The 19,762-nt window shown below is 39.1% G+C and overlaps 1 protein-coding gene across 6 annotated transcripts in view, besides 2 other annotated features; it reads left to right on the top strand.

Annotated features, from left to right (window-relative positions):
* Positions 1–19,762, top strand: part of MCMBP (minichromosome maintenance complex binding protein) — a 44,142-nt gene that overhangs the window by 11,393 nt on the left and 12,987 nt on the right. For 3 of the 6 annotated variants that reach the window (XM_011540170.2, XM_005270157.5, NM_024834.4), the window contains exons 2-10: positions 2,305–2,390; positions 3,008–3,148; positions 3,264–3,305; positions 4,750–4,851; positions 8,995–9,139; positions 12,613–12,764; positions 14,476–14,576; positions 18,763–18,941; positions 19,594–19,717. In XM_011540170.2, the coding sequence (XP_011538472.1) occupies positions 3,074–3,148; positions 3,264–3,305; positions 4,750–4,851; positions 8,995–9,139; positions 12,613–12,764; positions 14,476–14,576; positions 18,763–18,941; positions 19,594–19,717 (920 nt within the window). In that variant the 5' untranslated portion in view covers positions 2,305–2,390; positions 3,008–3,073. The remainder of the gene's footprint in view (positions 1–2,304; positions 2,391–3,007; positions 3,149–3,263; positions 3,306–4,749; positions 4,852–8,994; positions 9,140–12,612; positions 12,765–14,475; positions 14,577–18,762; positions 18,942–19,593; positions 19,718–19,762) is intronic. The other 3 variants (XM_017016663.2, NM_001256378.2, NM_001256379.2) reach the window with 2 other exon arrangements.
* Positions 4,228–4,397: an enhancer, noted in NCBI's record as "experimental_10254 CRE fragment used in MPRA reporter constructs". NCBI's record gives its function as "activates a minimal promoter by MPRAs in K562 erythroleukemia cells, with activity observed for both the introgressed and non-introgressed 10:121617389 variant alleles {active_cell/tissue: K562}" and the evidence as "EXISTENCE:reporter gene assay evidence [ECO:0000049][PMID:34662402]".
* Positions 11,193–11,692: an enhancer, noted in NCBI's record as "H3K27ac hESC enhancer chr10:121610009-121610508 (GRCh37/hg19 assembly coordinates)". NCBI's record gives its function as "activates a minimal SCP1, AML or CMV promoter by ChIP-STARR-seq in naive H9 embryonic stem cells {active_cell/tissue: H9 hESC(naive)}" and the evidence as "EXISTENCE:reporter gene assay evidence [ECO:0000049][PMID:30033119]".

The following is a 19,762-nucleotide window of genomic DNA, read 5'->3' as shown; positions in this document are numbered from 1 at the left end:
ATTACAGGCGCACACCATCACGCCTAGCTAATTTTTGTATTTTTAGTAGAAAAGGGGTTTCATCATATTGACCAGACTTGTCTCGAACTCCTGACCTCAGGTGATCCGCCTGCCTTGGCCTCCCAAAGTGCTGGAATTACAGGTGTGAGCCACCGCACCCAGCCAAGAGGATTTTTTCATTTTAAGTGCAGAGGCAGGAGGATCGATCACTTGAGCCCAGGAGTTCCAGACCAACCTGGACAACATAGGGAGACCTCCATCTCTACAAAAAGATTTAAAAATTAGCCAGGCGTGGTGGCCCGTGCCTGTGGTCCCAGCTACGCAGGAGACTGAGGCCAGAGGATCACTTGAGCCCAGGAAATTAAGGTTGCAGTGAGCCAGGATCACACCACTGTACTCCATCCTGGGTGACAAAGCAACACAACACCCTGCCTGAAAAAAGAAAATTGCATTTATATACATTCAAGTAACTTAGAAATAACTTGCTGCTCCCCAGTCACTGCTTGATGTAGCTTTACTATTTGTTATGTGGTATTCTCACGTCTTTTACACAATTGCAGGCAGAATAGTTGGTGTGGCAGTCGTGGCTGTGTAATAGTCTTTTCTTTAAACATCCATTTTGAATACAAGCGAAAATACCCACTTATCTTTTACCCAATTCACTGTATCTAGTAGAGCAGCGATTCTTAAACTTCAATGTGCATTATAGTCAGTCACATAGAGGGCTTTTTAAAATATGAATTGCTAGGCCCCACCCCTAAGAGTTTCTGATTCTGTGGTTCGGGGTTGGGCTGAATAATTTGCATTTCTAACAAGTACTCAGATGATGCTAATGATGCTGGTCAGGGAACCAACTTTGAGGACTAGTTTGTTAGTGGATTTAACGCCTACACATTAGTATCACCTGAGGAGTCCCCCATCCCTACTTCTTTTTCACAACTGGCCCTTGTCCAGTTAAGTAAACGTGTTTGGAAGTCCTGCTCAAACATGGTGTTAGGATTTTATGGTCCTTTTCAACAGATGCAGCTCCATAACAAGTGTAGACTTTTTATTTTTTACTCCAAATCTTCATAACACTTGTGTGATGAATATAAACAGCAGGATTGGCCAGCTGTGTGGTTTGGTGGTTTTAGTTCACATAAATCTGTATTCCGTCAATAGCTCACTTTTTGGTCTTGGCCAGTTCCCATAAGTGCCTGCTGTAGATGGCTTGTTAATTGTAAGGAGTAAATAGTAACTACACAGTAGAGTAATTGGCTGTCACTTTGGGTGATCAAAATTAACATCACCAATGAAGGGAAGATGGACATCATGTCTTTTCAGACATCTGGAAGGATAAACATCACTTATACAGTAGTTTGACAACATTGTTTAAACAGCAGTTCGGTTATACTTGATTGGAATCTGATCATAAGGGAACCAACAGATCCAGATTGAGAAGCATTCAATTTTTAAAAAAGGACCTTATTCTTCTTAAATAGCAATGTCATGAAATATAAAGTTTGCAGAACTATTCCATATGAAAGGAGATTAAAGAGATCTGATAGCTAAATGCAAAAGTGATCCTAAGCTGGGTCCTGTAACTGAACGGAAAAAAGTGCTATAGAGGGGATAGTATTGGGTCATATGATAAATAGGAATATAGATGGTAGATTAAATAAAAAGTATTGTGCCAATTTTGAATTTCCTGAGGTTGATAACAGTACTATGGTTAGTACTGTTCCTTAGGAGACACGCTGAAATATTTGTAGGCAAAAATACCTGATACTGCAACTTAAATGAGTCAGAAAAAATATGAGATGGAGCAAATGGGGCAAAGCATACAGGTGTTCTTTCCAACTTTTTTGAATCTGGAATTATTCCCAAATGAAGTTATAAACAAAAAAACTTAGGCTCTTTATTTCAGGATAGTTGTAAAGATAAAAAAACTACATAAAAATGTATTGAAAGAACAGAATGCTTTACAAGCAGTGCTTCATATGCTGCTGAATCTAGGTGGCCTTGTAGCACATTCTGTAGGTGTCCCCAGCTACACTGTGGGTGCTAGAGAGCCTGCAGGAGGTCAGCATCCTCCTGATTTGTAACTGCCCCTTCCCCTGCTCAGTACAGCTTCTTGAATGTGTCTTGTGCAGTACTTCAGACACACTGAAGCATAAAATACACCCTATCTAAAAATTCATTCTATCATAGTAGCTAATTTTAGTTTGTTTTTTGCTGACTAAACTATTGTGTGACTCACCTGATCATAGTCTTTTATTATATATTGCATGTACATTAGCTTTGAAAAGTATATTTCTCTTTCAGCCCAAAATGGAGTTAATCCTGACTGGGAGAAGAAAGTAATTGAGTATTTTAAGGAAAAGCTGAAGGAAAATAATGCTCCTAAGTGGGTAAGCTTATTGCTATTTTCGAGGGAGAGGGTTGGACAGACTATACAGTTTCTCTTAGTAGAGTAACTAAGTAACCCACATGTAATTTAAAAATATGTAAATTAATGTACTTCTGCTTCAAGTACATTTGTATTAAAAGATTTTGGTCTTTTGCTAATTAAGTTTAAGCATGTAAATACTTATACATTATGCCTCTAGGTGGCAGTAACTGACTGTTACTTCCTGAGACAAATCTTTAGTTGCAAGAGTGTCAGTTACCTTTGTTTTATTACCTTCATTTTAAAAGAATTGGCATGTGCTAGTTTTAAGAGAAGAGCTCAACAAAGTAAATGCCTTTTTGATCATTGAAAAGTGTTCTGAATGAAAAGCATTTTTTAGCATTCTTTTACATTGTGGTCAAATGTTATCTAAAACTTGAAAGAAATGGAAGAGAACTTGGGTTCCAGCAATTATATTGACCATTGAGATCATTTGGCTCTCTGATGTGGCATGGGTGTGTGTGTGTGTGTGTGTGTGTGTGTGTAACAGTTTGAGTCTGGATATAAAGTTTGTGTATATATGCTTAATGTTGTATAGACAGGATATTTAGTTGACTGACTTGATTATTTTCCTTTAAGGTACCATCACTGAACGAAGTTCCCCTTCATTATTTGAAACCTAATAGTTTTGTGAAATTTCGTTGCATGATTCAGGATATGTTTGACCCTGAGTTTTACATGGGAGTTTATGAAACGGTTAACCAAAACACAAAAGCACATGTAAGTATTGCTGTTTTCATGAATTTGTGGTATTAATTTTGTCCTTTTACTGTTGGTGGTAGTTTTGGTTCAGATATATTGATATAATTCTGTTTTTCTATGTTTGGGGTCATAGGTTCTTCATTTTGGAAAATATAGAGATGTAGCAGAGTGTGGGGTATGTATCTTTAATATATATGAAACATTTTTAGTAAGAATTTTTTCCTAAACAGAGAATTTGTTTAGCTAATCTTAAATTTATTTATCTTGTGTATAAGTTACAAGAAATCATGTGAAATGTTTTCCTTATTTGGTTTTATTTAGGAGTTTGATGTGACTTTTTTTTAATCCTCTAAAGATCTTTTGAAGGGGAAATACTGTTAATGCCAAAATTAATTCCTCTCTCCAATATCTGTATATAATATATGTAAAACAAAGAACCCTAGGTTGCAAAATTAAATCCTTTTTAATTCCTTCAAAGACAAAGCCAATGGTAATCTCACTGTTTCTTTCATAGAAAGCTGTCAGAATCAGCCTATAATACAGAAATTTAATGAAATATTCATTCCTAGGTAGCTCGGAGATGAGATTCAAAAGTCATATATTATTCCCTAGGAAAGGCATGTTCTCTTTCAGATATACTTAGAAAACTCTAAGAAGTGGAAAGGACCCAGGAGACATCAAATTTGAGCCTAATACATACAAGCAAGGATTTTTTTGTTTGCCTTTCTTTCTAGGCCTAAGGTACCTTTCTCCTAGAATGAGTCTTTTATTTATGACTCTTGAGCAACATGTGTACCAACTCTCTGTTAGCCTTTGGTAGTGTCACACATGGACAGCCTCATCTATTTTATTGACCCATTTCCAGATGCTGGGATTACCGAGTTACATTAATACACAGCTTTTTATGGTATACAGTAATGTAATATATTAGCCTAATGTGTTAGGACTCCTTAAACAAGGGATACTGTAATCATTAATACAGTTGATCCATTAGGCTTGGCACAGTGTTTATTTTATGGAAACACTCTAAAAGAAAAACAGACCTGAAGTTCATCATGTGTAAGGTTACACAAATCTATCTTTCAAATGAGTTCATTACTCTAAATAATTGTCAGAAGTTACATTTTTGTTTAATATAATCTTTGCAGTAACCTTCCAAATTAGGGCAATTTTTCTGTCCAGATCTGCCTACTGAACTAGAATATTTAATGAGCAACAACTTCTGTTGTGAATTAACGGACTGATATTGGGGTTTGATAAATCAGTTTCCTAAGGTTTGGATAAGCCAAGAGTTAGACTCTAAGAATATAAAAAGGCCTAGATAACATCATAAAAGTAAGGTTCTAGATCCACAAAGCAGAGAACTAGACCCAGATTATAAGTCACTCCAGAGGTCCCATTTTTCTGGATTTGAGGGAGGAAGTGTTTGATGACAGTATTTGAAGTGATTTTATATCCATTTTCTTTTAAAAAGTAATAGTTTGGAATTAGTTACTTGTTAATTAATCTGTAAAATATTTGCTGTGGTGTTATAATGTGAAAATGTGGTTGCTAATTTTAAAATAAATTTTGGGTTTTTTAAAGTAAATTTTTAAAAACACTTTTTATGTATATCACAGCCTCAACAAGAACTTGATTTAAACTCTCCACGAAATACCACTTTGGAAAGACAGACTTTCTATTGTGTTCCGGTGCCTGGGGAATCTACGTGGGTAAAAGAAATATCCTTTATCTGAACTTTCTTACTGTGTTGATGGTTTCTAAAAACTTAGCCTTTAATTATTCTTCCTTTGCAAAGCTTGGCTTTATTTTAATAAAGTGTGTTTCATTTGTTCTAATTGAGAAAACCCATAAAACGGGCTAAGTATTTGTCACTGAGTAATGCTAAAATAACAGTACATTCCTATAGTGAAATACTGTTAAAATGATTGAAGTAATTTTTTTTTTTTTTTTTTTTTTTTGAGATAGGGACTCACTGTCACCCAGGCTGGAGTGCAGTGGCACAAACATGGCTCATTGCTGCTTCAACCTCCTGGGCTCAAGCAGTCCTCTTGCCTCAGCCTCCCAAGTAGCTGGGACCACAAGCGTGTGCCACCATCCCTGGCGAATTTTTTGATTTCTTGTAGGAACAGGGTTCACTTTGTTGCCCAAGCTGGTCTTGAACTCCTGGGCTCAAGTGATCCTCTCACCTCAGCCTACCAGAGTGCATGCTCCGCCTAAGGCACATTTAAAGGTACTGAAAAAATATGATAATTAAAGTAAAAAAATAGTTTCAAATTGGAATTCATTCTAATTAAGGGAAGACAACGTGTTGGCTCTTTTGAGAGGGGATTGTAGAAACATTTCCTTTTTATTTACGATAGTAATTTTTTAAGGCATGGCCCACCTACACTGAAATGCACAGATTTTAAGGTAATGCACAGTGATTTGGATAAACACATACACCTATATAATTTATACCCCAAAGTAAAGAACTTGTGCCTAAAAATTCCTTTCTGCCTTTTTCTAGTCACTACCTCCTCCCCTGCAAGCACAATCCTGAATTCTTGACTATGGCTTGGTCTTGTCTGTTGAATGACATCTAAATGGACTCATATAATATATAGTCTTTGTGTCTGACATCTTGTGTTTAACATCATGCATTTGAGTCATGTGTGTATCAGTAGTTCTTCATTTCTTTCTTGTTTTCTTTTGCTAAGTATTATTTGTTTATACAGTCTCCAATTGAGCATTTAGGTTATTTACGGTTTTAAGCTGGGCATTTTCTTTGTGAGAACATTTTAAACTACCAATTCAGTTCTTTTTGTTTGTTTTTTGTTTGTTTGTTTTTGTTTTCTTGAGATGGAGTCTTGCTCTGCTGCTAGTCTGAAGTGCAGTAGCGTGATCTTGGCTCACTGCAACCTCCATCTCCTGGGTTCAAGTGATTCTCCTGCCTCAGCCTCCCGAGTAGCTGGGACTACAGGCACACGCCACCATGCCCGCCAGTTTTTGTATTTTTAGTAGAGACGGGGTTTCACCATGCTGGCCAGGATGGTCTCGATCTCTTGACTTCGTGATCTGCCTGCCTCGGCCTCTCAAAGTGCTGGGATTACAGGAGTGACTAATTCAGTTTTTTAACAGATATTTTGAGTCAGTTGTGATAAATTGTATCTTTCAAGGACTGTTTTGAAGTCATTTAAACCCAGTTGTTGAATTTATTGACATAAAACTTGTCAGAGTATTTTCTTTTTAATGTCTGTGGGATATCTAGCATTGATCTCTTTCATTCCCAATAATGTTAGTCTATTTTTCACTTCAATTTTCTGTTTTCTGCTTCATCCATTTCTGCTTTATTTTGTTCTTTTTGGTTTGGTTTTAATTGGTCTTTTTCTAGCCTTTTTTTTTTAGACGGGGTCTTGCTGGCTCTGTCACCCAAGCTGGAGTGCAGTGGCACAATCTCGGCTCACTGCAACCTCAGCCTGCCAGGTTCAAGCAGTTCTCTGCCTCAGCCTCCCAAGTAGCTGGGATTGCAGGTGCCTGCCACCATGCCCGGCTAATTGTTTTGTATTTTTGATAGAGACGGGGTTTTACCATGTTGGCCAGGCTGGTCTTGAACTCCTGACCTCGTGATCCACCTGCCTCAACCTCCCAAAGTGCCGGGATTACAGGCGTGAGCCACCGCGCCTGGCCCTTTTTCTAGCTTTTTAAAGTAGATGCTCAGATTATTGATTTCAAATTTTTCTTATTTTCTAATGTTAGCAACTAAAGCTATAAATTTCTCCCCAGTCACTGCTTTGGTTGCATCCCACAAGTTTTCATTTGTTAGGTTTTTACTGTCATTTAATTCAAAATATTTTCTAATTTCCCTTGTGATTTCTTCTTTGATCCTTCGCCCTTGCAACAATCTGCTTCTGTGTAGTCTCATTCTTCGTGCTATTTTTGTCATAGATTTCACTCATCCTTAGATTATACAGCTCACAACATACTATTTTTGTTTTTAACAGTCGTTTGTCTTTTATATAAATTAAGAAGCAAGAAGAATTCATCTTTTTTTATATTTGGCATCATTTCCTTTAGCGATATTATTATGATTATGATTTTATTTTATTTTTTTTTTTTTTTTTTTTGAGGCAGAGTCCTGCTCTGTCACCAGGCTGGAGTGCAGTGGTGCAATTTCGGCTCACTGCAACCTCCGCTTCCCGGGTTCAAGTGATTCTCCTGCCTCAGCCTCCAGAGTAGCTGGGACTACAGGTGTGTGCCACCACGCCAGTTTTTTTGTGTTTTTAGTCGAGACGGGGTTTCACCATGTTGGCCAGGATGGTCTTAATCTCCTGACCTCAGGTGATCCACCCACCTTAGCCTCCCAAAGTGCTGGGATTACAGGCATAAGCCACTATGCCCGGCCAGCAATTATTTTTTTTTTAAATACAGATCTGTTGGTGACGAATTCTGTCAGTTTCTGTTCAATTGAAAATGTCTTTTATTCCACCTTCATTTTGTTTTATTTATTTATTTATTTATTTATTTATTTATTTATTTTTGAGACAGGGTCTCTCCCTTTGTTGCCCAGGCTGGTCTCGAACTCCTGAGCTCAAGTGATCTACCCGCCTCAGCCTCCCAAAGCACTAGGATTCCAGATGTGAGTCACCACACCCGGCCTCACCTTAATTTTTGAAGAACATTTTCATTGGATATAGAATTTTTATTTTTTATTTTAATAATTTATTTTAAAAAAACAGACCAGGCACAGTGGCTCATGCCTATAATCCCAGCACTTTGGGAGGCAGAGGCAGGAGGATCACTTGAGGCCAGGAGTTTGAGACCAACCTGGCCAACATGGCAATACTCTGTCTCTACAAAAAATACAAAAACTAGCCGGGCTTGGTGGTGGGCACCTGTGGTTCCAGCTACTCCCATGGCTTGAGACGGGAGGATCACCTGAACCCAGAAGGCTGAGGCTGCAGTGAGCTGAAATTGTACCACTGCACTCCAACCTAGGCAACAGAACGAGACTGTCTCAAAAAAAAAAAAAAAGAAAAGGAAAAAAGAGATGAGTTCTCACTGTGTTGCCCAGGCTACTCTCAACTTCCTGGGCTGAGTGGTCCTCCCACCTGAGCCTCCCAAAGTGTTGGATTTACAGATGTTAGCCACTGCATCCACCTGGGATTTGTTAGGGGTGGTGTAGAACAGCCCTTGTTGAACAGTAGATCATCCTTATTCATGAGGTCTGCTATTTCTGGGTCTTACCCAAATGCCTAGGATGACTAGTAGGGTCCATTATAGTATTATACTACTTCCAGAGTCTCCATTTAACTCTCTGCCAACTAGCAGCTGTTCTCTGCTAGTCCTCAGGGAGTCTTGACTTGTATATCCACAATTTAGTGTTTTGTCAGAGATCCAAATGGAACCTTCAGGGTCTTTTATCCGTAACTACTTCCTTTCTAGTACTTCTCTGCAAATTCCAGTTGCTTCACTAGCCCTGAACCATGTGCTCTGTCTTCTCCACCCAGTAAGAGAGGGCCTCTACTGCTCTTTGTTGCAGTTTGGAGAACGTCTCCAGGAGAGAGCTGGGAGAATTTGGAGTTTACCTGCTGTGTTTCTCCTCATTCAAGGATCATAACCTTATGCTCCCTGTTGTCCAGTGACTGAAAACAGTTGCTTCACATATTTTGTCCAGTTACATTGTTGTTTACAGCAAGGATAGCAGCATAAGGTTGATACCTGTTATTCTCATGACCAGAACTGGAAGTCTAGCCTCCTTTTATGAAAATGCATTCTATTTTAACTGAATTGCCAAACTAGTAATTTTTTATAAGTCATATAATTAGCAAAACTTTAGGATATTCCTCAGTTTATGATAGTCTTTTCTTAACTTTTCGTTTAACGCCTATGTTAATGCAAACCAAGCTCGAGTCAGTCCCTCAACATCCTACACTCCTAGTCGCCACAAGAGGAGTTATGAAGATGATGACGATATGGACCTACAGCCCAATAAGCAGAAAGACCAACATGCAGGTGCCAGACAAGCAGGTAGTGTGTGCCAACAGGTTTTCTCTAGACTTTGCTCTCTTACAGTAGATTGGTTTTCAGAGTGAATTGTTACATAATATAGCTCTATATTTAGGAGCTGGCAATTTATCAGAGTTACAGACATGTTGAGAGTTTTTACAGTACTCTGATGAGACTGTGCTTCGCAAATGAGCAATTAGGCATCACTTTGTGACAAGTGGCTGCTCTGATGTATGTGTTTGGAGTCTCAAGTGACTATCTGGAAAGGTCTTTTCTATCTTCATATTTATTTTTAATACAGAAGCCTGGTACTTTACCCTAAAAATGAGTTATTTTTATCTGAAAACATGCTTTCTCATTTTCTTTTTAATTTTCTTGTTTGTTTGTGTTTTGAGACAGGGTTTCACTCCCATCACCCAGGCTAGAGTGCAGTGGCATAATCATGGCTTATTGTAGCCTTGACCTCCTGGGCTCAAGTGATCCCCTGTCACTTCAACCTGCCTAGTAGCTAAGGCTATAGGCGCATGCCACCACATGCAGCTAACTTTTTAAATTTTGTGTAGAGATGGGATCTCACTATGTTGCCCAGGCTGGTCTCAAACTCCTGGGCTCAGGTGATCCTTCTATATCAGCCTCCCAAAGCCATTGGCATAACAGGCGCGAGCCACCACGCCCAACCAGTCTTAGCTTTTATAAGCAGTGGATTTCTTTGTTATGGTGGGTATATAAGTTTGTCTTTATATTTGTAATATATTCGAGTTTGTAATATATTCGAGTATGTGCTATCCACTTCCCTTCAGCACCTTTAATCAGAAGGAAAAATTAAAGGACAAGGAGGCAAAACAAATCAGTCTGGTCATTTACTATCTGCAAGATTGGGTAGAGAAGGCTTTTTTTTTTTTTTTTTTTTTTTTTTTTGAGACAGAGTTTCGCTCTTGTTGCAGTGGCTGGATTGCAGTGGCACGATCTTGGCTCACTGCAAGCTCCACCTCTTGGGTTCAAGCAATTCTCCTGCCTCAGCCTCCTGAGTAGCTGGAATTACAGGCATGCGCCACCACGCCTGGCTAATTTTGTATTTTTAGTAGAGACGGGGTTTCTCCATGTTGGTCAGGCTGGTCTTGAGCTCCCGACATCAGATGATCCACTTGCCTCGGCCTCCCAAAGTTCTGGGATTACAGGCATGAGCCACTGTGCCTGGCCAAGGCAAATTTAACAGTCAGTGGTAAACAGGGATTTACTAATGAATTTTATTTACCCTTATATTACTCTACTTTATAAATTGATATTTCCAGATTTTCTTAATGCTAAGATATATTTTAATGTGTTTAAAATTGGAATGTTTTACTATAAATACATATAAATGTCGTAGTATTCTTTTTCTCCACCGATCCCCAGAATATATTAAAATTAATGGTCTATCATCTAGCCTGGACAGCATGGCGAAACCCCATCTCTACTAAAAATACAAAAATTAGCCAGGCATGGTGGCAGGCGCCTGTAATCCCAGCTGTTTGGGAGGCTAAGGCAGTAGAATCACTTGAACCCAGAGGGGCGGAGGTTGCAGTGAGCTGAGATCATGCCATTGCACTCCAGCCAGAGTGACAGAGAGACTCCATCTCAAATAAATATCATAGTAACTTATATATTGTAATATATTCGAGTGTGTATTTAAGTCCAGGAAATATGTTAATTCTCTTATCACTTAAGCAGTTGATGCTACTTTTTATTTCTTACCATTCTTGTTTGAATGTCTTAATGCAGGCTTTTTATGCATTTGAGTACTTTATTTATATAAAGTAACACTTGTTGGTGTTTAGTCAATGTTTTAGGCTATACATATTTTTAAACTTTTTATTTTGACACAGTATAGACTTACATGCAGTTGTAAGAAATAATACAGAGAGGCTGGTTGCGGTGGCTCACACCTATAATCCCAGCCCTTCAGGAGGCCGAGGCAGGCACATCACTTGAGGTCAGGAGTTCCAGTCTGGCAAACATGGTGAAACCCCATCTCTACTAAAAATACAAAAATTAGCTGGGCATGGTGGTGCACGCCTGTAATCCCAGCTACTTGGGAGACTGAGGCAGGAGAATTGCTTGAACCCGGGAGGCGAAGGTTGCAGTGAGCGCTGATCGCCACCATGCTCCAGCCTGGGTGACAGGGTGAGACTCTGTCTCAAAAAAAAAAAAAAAAAACAGATCTTGTATACCTTTTAGCCTCTACTTCCCCCAGTGGTAATACCTTACGTAATTATAGTAGAATGTCATAACCAGGAAGTGGATATTGATACAATCATTTTTTTTCCTTTTTTTTTTTTTTTTTAGACGGAGTCTTGCTCTGTCACCCAGACTGGAGTGCAGTGGTGCAATCTCTGCTCACTGCAAGCTCCGCCTCCTGGGTTCACGCCATTCTCCTGCCTCAGCCTCCCGAGTAGCTGGGACTACAGGCCCCCATCACCACGCCTGGCTAATTTTTTGTATTTTTAGTAGAGACGGGGTTTCACCGTGTTAGCCAGGATGGTCTCAATCTCCTGACCTCGTGATCCACCTGCCTCAGCCTCCCAAAGTGCTGGGATTACAGGCTTGAGCCACTGCACCTGGCCTGTTCTTTGCAGTTTTATCGCATAGGTAGATTCATGTGACCACCACCACAGTTAAAATCGGGAATATTTCATTACCCAGATCTCTCATGTTGCCCTTTTATGCTCCTAACTACCACTCTCCTGCCTCCTCCGTCCCCAGAAGTCTCTAGACCCTAGCAACCACTGGTCTCTTCTCCATCTCTTATAATTTTGTCATTTTAAGAATGGAATTGTATATTACATAAACTTTGGGGATTGTCTTTTCTTCAGCACAATTCCCTTGAGATCCATCCCAATTGTTGCATGTATCAGTAGTTTGTCCGTTTTATTGCTGAGTGGTGTTTCGTGGTATGGCAGGCTATAATTTGATTCTCATGTTATCAGCCCTAAAGTGTAACTACTTCAGGAGTTGGGGTTATTCTTTTAATGACCTGTATATCCCCAACAACTGGTTTGATTCCTGGTACATACTGGATATTAATAAGTATTTGGTAAATTAATTTATTGCTGTATGGTTTTATTCTGCTTAATTAATAGAAAAAGTATGTTCTACCAAGGAGTTTTGCTGTCGGTAGACCATGTATTCCTTAAATCAAAGATGTCAAAGTAACCATATTGCAAATCAACTTTTGAAACTGGTTATACATGAGATTTGATGGGAGGAATTTGTTGATATCTTACAGTAAGGGAAAAAAAAGTAAAATTTTTAGATCTTCATGTTTATCTTTGTCCTCTTACAGATCAAACAAAAGACTTTGTTAGTATGTGCTGTTTCCTTAAAAACTGTAACAACTTGAACTTTGCAAGCTCAGAAGCATCACGTATATCAAACTTGAAAGGCACTTATGGAATGTTCTTTTTCTCCAGGAGGCCTTAGAAATGACTAAGTGCAATGCTATCCTTTGAATTTAGGGAGTGTTGGTGGTCTTCAATGGTGTGGAGAGCCAAAACGTTTAGAAACTGAAGCTTCTACTGGGCAACAGCTGAACTCTCTGAACTTGTCTTCTCCTTTTGATTTGAATTTTCCATTGCCAGGAGAGAAGGGCCCTGCATGCCTTGTGAAGGTAATAAAACCTTTCGTAGATCCAACACTGAAATGTTATGTGTCTCAGAAAGTAGCTTAGTGTCTGAGCATTTGCATTTGTTCCCTTGTGCTGGGCTAGCTATAGCAAATCACTGCAAATTTAATAGCCTAAAGCAGCAAAAGTTTATCATCTTACAGGCTTTAGGTCAGAAATCCAACATGGTCTCACTGGGGTAAACTCGAGGTGCCAGCAGGGCTACATTCCTTTCTCGGAGCCCCTAAGGGAGAATTTCCTTGGCCTTGTGGCTCCTTCTTCCATATTCATAGCCAGCAACATTGCATTTGTCTGACCATTTTTTTCATGTTGACATCTCATCTGACCACAACCAAGAAAGTTTCCCCAATTTTAAGAATCCGTGTGATTACATGGGGCCCAGCCAGTTAATCGAGGATAATCCCCCCCATTTCAAGGTTATTAATTTAATCACACCTGCACATTCCTTTTGCATGTAAGCTAACAAGTTAAAAGAATCGAAGAACATCTCAAATGCAGAAGCAGAACAACTTTTAAATTATGTCTGTTCCCTTCCTGTATCATTTCTAACATAATATCTTCTTCATTTTTGTCTTCTTCCTTCTCTCAGCAAAACCTATTTTTCACTTATATTTAAAATAAAACAGAAGGAAGAAAACTTTTAATAGTTTGTTCTTCCATCTTACTTATTCTAGTGTTTTGATCCTGATAAATGAGCAAGTGATAGAAGGTTCAGAAATGATTGTTAAGGATTTCTATCCTTATTCTTTGTGCATTTTGGGTTTTTTTGTTTTTGGGGGGTTTTTTTGTTTGTTTTTTTGAGGCAGTCTCACTCTCTTGTCCAGGCTGGTGTGCAGTGGCACGATCTCGGCTCACTGCAACTTCTACCTCCTGGGTTCAGGCAATTCTCGTGCCTCAGCCTCCTGAGTAGCTGAGATTACAGGCATGCACCACCACACCCAGCTCGTTCTTTATATTTTTTGTAGAGATGGGGTTTCACTATGTTGGCCAGGCTGGTCTCGAACTCCTGACCTCAAGTGACCCACCCACCTCAGCCTCCCAAAGTTCTGGGATTCCAGGGGTGAGCCACTGCACCCAGATTCTCAGTGGTTTTAACTGAAATGACACTTAAGTCATATGGCACAGGGACCAAAATTACCATTTTTTCCCCTGCCTTGCTTCTACCAGGTCTAATCAGTAAATGGCCTTGACTATTACTAAGTCCATCATGACAGACAATTTTGAAAGGTTTTTTTTTTTTTTTAAATTGTGAAAAATCTTCTGGCCATTCCAAGTTTTGTGTTAATCCGATGTTGCAGTTTATGAATAAATGCAAAGTTAATCATCTTGTTTTTGTTTTTTCCTTTTCTTGGTGTGGTTTAATAGGTTTTGAGATAGTGCACAGTTCTAGTTTTAACTGTCAGCCTTTGGGAAAAGGCTTTTTTTAATTTTAGGAAAAGCCTTTTTTTTTTGTAGTACTGTGGTATATTGAAAACAGACATTAGTCTGGAAGTTAGGCATCCTGTGTTTTGGTTTTTCACTTATTTGCTAACTAGCAGAATGACTCTTGGTCTCAATTTATAAAAATTTATAAAATAAAGGACTTGCTTTAAGGTCTGTTTCCTGATCTAAAATTCCAAGATATTGGTACTTCAAGACTAATATCTTAAGCTTTGTGTCTGTTCTAACAGTGTGATTTCATGTGGTCTCTTGTTAGGTTTATGAAGATTGGGATTGTTTCAAAGTAAATGACATTCTTGAGCTATATGGCATACTGTCTGTGGATCCTGTGCTGAGTATACTGAATAATGATGAAAGGTGAGTCTGTGTGCTCTTTTTTTGGTCTCCTTTATTTTTATATAATTTCAAGTTTTCAGGAGAGTTACAGGATGGTTTTAAAGAACTCCCTTTTCCCTTTCTCCCAGATGTACCAGTTGTAAACACTTGCACCCCATGTGTTTTGTCATTCATTTGTGCTCTCTATGCACACATTTTTCTGAAACACTTGAAAGTATGTTGCAGAAATCAAGCCCTTTTACCCCTAACTGCTTGTCAACATTTCCTAAGAGTACTGACTTTCTCATATATAATTAGAGTACAGGTATCAAAACTAGGAAATTTGCCACAAATATACAATACACTAATCCACAATCTATACTTAATTTCACTAATTGTCTTAATCATGTTCTTTCTTACACGTCTCCCTTCTGCATCCCCCAGTCCAGGGTTCAGAAGCTCGCTCATTCTCTATTTCTACTGAGTTCATACTGTATTTCTGATTCCAGTTCAGCACCACAGGTGTCGTTCTGCTTGTTCTCCTTTCTGTATTAGTGTAACTCTCTTAAACTTGATTCCCATTTTTCACAATCTTATCATTTGCACATTTTTACAACATAGAGAAGGGAATTTCAGAATTGTTAACTCATACCTTTACAAAACATAAACCTAAATAACTAGAGTTCAATCTGAAACAGTCCTCAGCCTTTGTCTTTCATGGTCTTGCCACTTTTTTTTTTTCCTTAAACAACAGAAATATATGTCTTCCAGTAGTTCTGGAGGCTGGGAAGTCCAAAATCAAGTTCCCAGCAGATCTGGTTTCTAGTGAGGGCCCGCTTCCTGGTTTACAGATGGCTGTCTTCTCACGTGGTAGAGAGCAGACAGCCTTGATGCTTTTGAAGAGTGTAAGCCAGTTACCAGTTACTTGTTTCCTCATGGTTAGACTCAATGTTTTGCATTTTTGGCAGGAATATTACAGAATTGATGTATCCTCAGTATGTTACAGCAGGAGGCATGCGATGTCAGTTTGTCCCTTTACTGGTGAGGTTAATTTTCATTAGTTGGTTAAGGTGGTGACTTCCAGATGTCTCTTCTGTAAAGTTACATTTCTCACTTTGTAATTGACAAGTAACTTGGAGGAAGGTACTTGGGGACATAAATATCCAGTTTCTCATTAAACTTTCACCAATTTATTTTAGCATTCATTGATGATTCTTGCTTGAATCAGTTATTACTTTGTTGGCAATTTTCTAACGCAGTACATTTATTTATTGGCATTCTACTATAAAAGATACCTCTTCCATTTGTTTATTCAAGTAATGTATTTACTTATATTTAGTATAGACTAATAGATTCTGATTTTATTCAATGTTAATATCATTATTTTATTTCGAGACCCAAATTTTCCCAGATTTGGCTAGTGGGAGCCACTTTAAGCAGGTGCCGGGTCCTTTTTTTGAGATGATGTTATCATTTTTTAACATTTATTTTCTGGCATATTAAGCTGTTGCAGCTTCATCGTATGCTTTGAAGATCTGAGTCCTAGATGTGCTCGTTGGTACTGGATTAGATTTGCATCTAGGCCCTTAAAGTAGACAGAGCTAGGATACATGCAGCATATGGATACATATATACGCACCCACATTTAAATGCACACATACACACTCACATGCATGTTTTGTGTATTTCTAATGTCTGTGAAAAACCATGGGTTCATATTTCTGATTCCAGTTCAGCACAGCAGGAGTCACATGTTCTAGTTGTTCTCCTTTCTATATTTATGACTTCTTTTTCTAACAAATTTGATTCCCATTATTCACAATCTGTTGTTTCCCCATTTCTACCATATACAGAAGGGAATTTCAGAATTGGTAACCCATACCACTACAAAACAGAAACCTAGTAATTAGAGTTCAATACATTTCCAGTTCATTTTTATTTTAGAATGCAGCTGTGTAGTCAGAGCTATGTTCCACTTACTCAGGTAACTTTTCTTCCCCTTCAGTGTGATTTCATTATTTATTTTACTTAGAAAGATTCTCAGAGGTGTCATTCTCGGCTATCCCCATTCCTGCTGTCTGTTCCCACCCAGCCTCCTTAGGGAACCACAGTTTCTGGTTTATCCTTCCTGTATTTATTTTTTTACAAAAATATGAAGATACGTATACATTTTATTTCTACCTTTTTCTTCTATAAAAGGTAACATGGTATATATACTCTTACACTTTTTAATTTTTTTTATTAACAACATATCTTGGAAATCTAGACCTTCCTCATTCATTTTTGTTTTGTTTTGAGATTGCCAAAAGCAAGGGCTGATGTCCCTCATCTACACCAGAGTCCTCTTGTTGAATACCGGACATTAATCATCTTAGTTTCTGTGTAGGATGAACTTAACATTTTTCACAGTTAAAAAAAAATGGTACAAAACAAAAATTTTAAACAACTTTAAATAAGCTTAACCGTCCCTTAATAATAGTATATGAGATTGTTCATCTTGGCAATTTCTGATTGTGATGACTTTCCTGCTTTAGTTACTTCACTATTGATGTAGTTTAGTTTAGAGGTTGTATTAGGGGTCTCTAAAGGGTCAGAACTGATAGGATAGATGAATATATGAAGGGGAGTTTATTAGGAGAATGACTCACATGATCACAAGGTAAAATCCCACAATAGGCTGGGGAGCAAGGAAGCCAGCCTGAGTCCCAAAATCTCAAAAGTAGGGAAGCCACCAGTGTAGGCTTCAGTCCGTGGCTGAAGGCCTAAGAGCTCCTGGTGAACCACTGGTGTAGGTCCAAGAGTCCAAAAGCTGAAGAACTTGGAGTCTGATGTTTGAGGGCAGGAAGCATCCAGCATGAGAGAAAGGTGGAGGCGGAAGACTCAGCCAGTCTGCTCTTTACATGCCTGCCTTTATGCTGGCAGCTGATTAGATGCTGCCCACCCAGACTGAGGGTGGGTCTGCCTCTCCCAGCCCGCTGACTCAAATGTTAATCTCCTTTGGCAACACCCTCACAGACACATCCAGGAACAATAATTTTCATCCTTCAATCCAGTCAGATTGACAAAGTATTAACCATCACAGAGGTTAAGAGCACAGACAGGCAGGCAGCCTGGGTTGGAGTCCTGACTTGGCCACTTACTAGCTATGTCACCTTGGGCTTGGTTTCCTCATTGTAAATAAGGGTAGATGTGAGGTTTTGGTGAATTTGTACGTGTAAGGCATTGAACGTTGTCTGTCACATGGTACGTACTATGGAAAAGGTTATTATGCTTGTATTAAAAAATACAGGAGTATGAATTTATTACTTCAGTGTCTATAGATTCTATAAAGTCAAGATCTAAAAGATTAGCTATTTGTTTTGGTCGTCTCACAAATCTATCATCTGCAGATTTATTTAGCAAGTCTGAAAAATTCATACTTTCATTGCTTGTCTACTCAGTCTTCGAGGGATCATGTAAGAATTAAATTTAGGAAAAACAATTAGCAAGATAAGAGATGAATGGATTCTCCACACGCTGAATAATAGATACCAGATGGCTTTTGAGAAAAAGACCCCAGTTTTTGAGATCTGCTGTCAAGTATTCGATGTCCCGGCCAATAGTTCAAGGAGTACCTGTGTTTTGAAATAGCCTTATGAGTGACATCCTACATTCCATTTATTGAAGTGCTGAATAACAAATATTATTGTTTCTGGCCAGGCATGGTGGCTCACGCCTGTAATCCCAGCACTTTGAGAGGCCAAGGCAGGCAGATCACTTGAGGTCAGGAGTTCGAGACCAGCCTGGCCAACATAGTGAAACCCTGTCTCTACTAAAAATACAAAAATTAGCCAGGCATGGTGGTGTGCACCTGTAATCTCAGCTACTCAGGAGGCTGAGGCATGAGAATCGCTTGAACCCAGGAGGCAGAGGTTGCAATGAGCCAAGATCGCATCACTGCACTCCAGCCTGGGCAACACAGTGAGACTCCATCCAAAAAAAAAATAAAAATAAAAATACCGTTCTTGAAAAATTGAATAAATGCATTATTTCATGATATGTCTTAACAAGCCTGAAGTCTGTGTGATGTAACACTTTAGAATGAGAGGCCACTTTCTGTTCTTTAAGGAGATGTACAGGTGGAAATATTCTTGGCTTTAACTCTAATTTTGTTTTCCAAGATGCACATTATTTTTGCATCTGTGCAATTGATGTCTCTCTAAATTGAAACTTTATCACCTCTCCACAGGGATGCCTCTGCACTGCTGGATCCGATGGAGTGCACAGACACAGCAGAGGAGCAGAGAGTACACAGTCCTCCTGCTTCATTAGTGCCGAGAATTCATGTGATCTTAGCCCAGAAGTTGCAACACATCAACCCATTATTGCCTGCCTGCCTTAACAAAGAGGAGAGCAAAACCTGTAAGTGTAAGTGTTACAGCCTAGTCAACTATCGACTGTTAGCCTCAGTGTGTCCAGAGCTGCCTGTAACGTGCTCATAGTGGAATTGAGAGTCAGGTCTTCATTCCTCACAATAAGTGTTTTCAGTAATCTCTCTCTCGTTGCCCCATTTTTCTCTTACATTAATTCTCTTCACTGAAATGAGGACAAAAGAGTATACAAGGCTGGGTGCAGTGGCTCACGCCTGTAATCTTAGCACTTTAGGAGGCCAAGGTGGGTGGATCACCTGAGGTCAGGAGTTCGAGACTAGCCTGGCCAATATAGTGAAACCCTGGCTCTACTAAAAATACAAAATTAGCCAGGTGTGGTGGCGTGTGCCTGTAATCCCAGCTACTCGGGAGGCTGAGGCAGGAGAACTGGAGGCAGAGGTTGCGGTGAGCTGAGATGGCACCATTGCACTCCAGGCTAGGCAAAAAGAGCAAAACTTGGTCTCAAAAAAAAAAAAAAGGAGGATGCAAACTGCCTTATTTTTAAGATTAGCATCACTTACTGACGGATATGTTAAGCTTTACCTACTGTCGACTGAATTGTGCTTTGCTCACGTAGTTATTTTTTTACCTAAGACACTTGAGAGGAACTGGAGTGTGTGTCCTGACTCAGGTCTTCCTTTCTCCTTCAGTTGTTTCAAGTTTCATGTCCGAATTGTCTCCAGTCAGAGCAGAACTTCTTGGGTTCCTTACTCATGCCCTTCTGGGGGATAGTTTGGCTGCTGAATACCTTATATTACATCTCATCTCCACAGTGTAAGTGCTGTATCCTGGTGGGAATTAGGGGAGTTTGGTGTGTGT

The sequence above is a fragment of the Homo sapiens genome, chromosome 10 (genome assembly GCF_000001405.40).
Source record: "Homo sapiens chromosome 10, GRCh38.p14 Primary Assembly".
NCBI lineage: Eukaryota > Metazoa > Chordata > Mammalia > Primates > Hominidae > Homo > Homo sapiens.
This window is presented reverse-complemented; position numbering and strand designations above follow the sequence as displayed.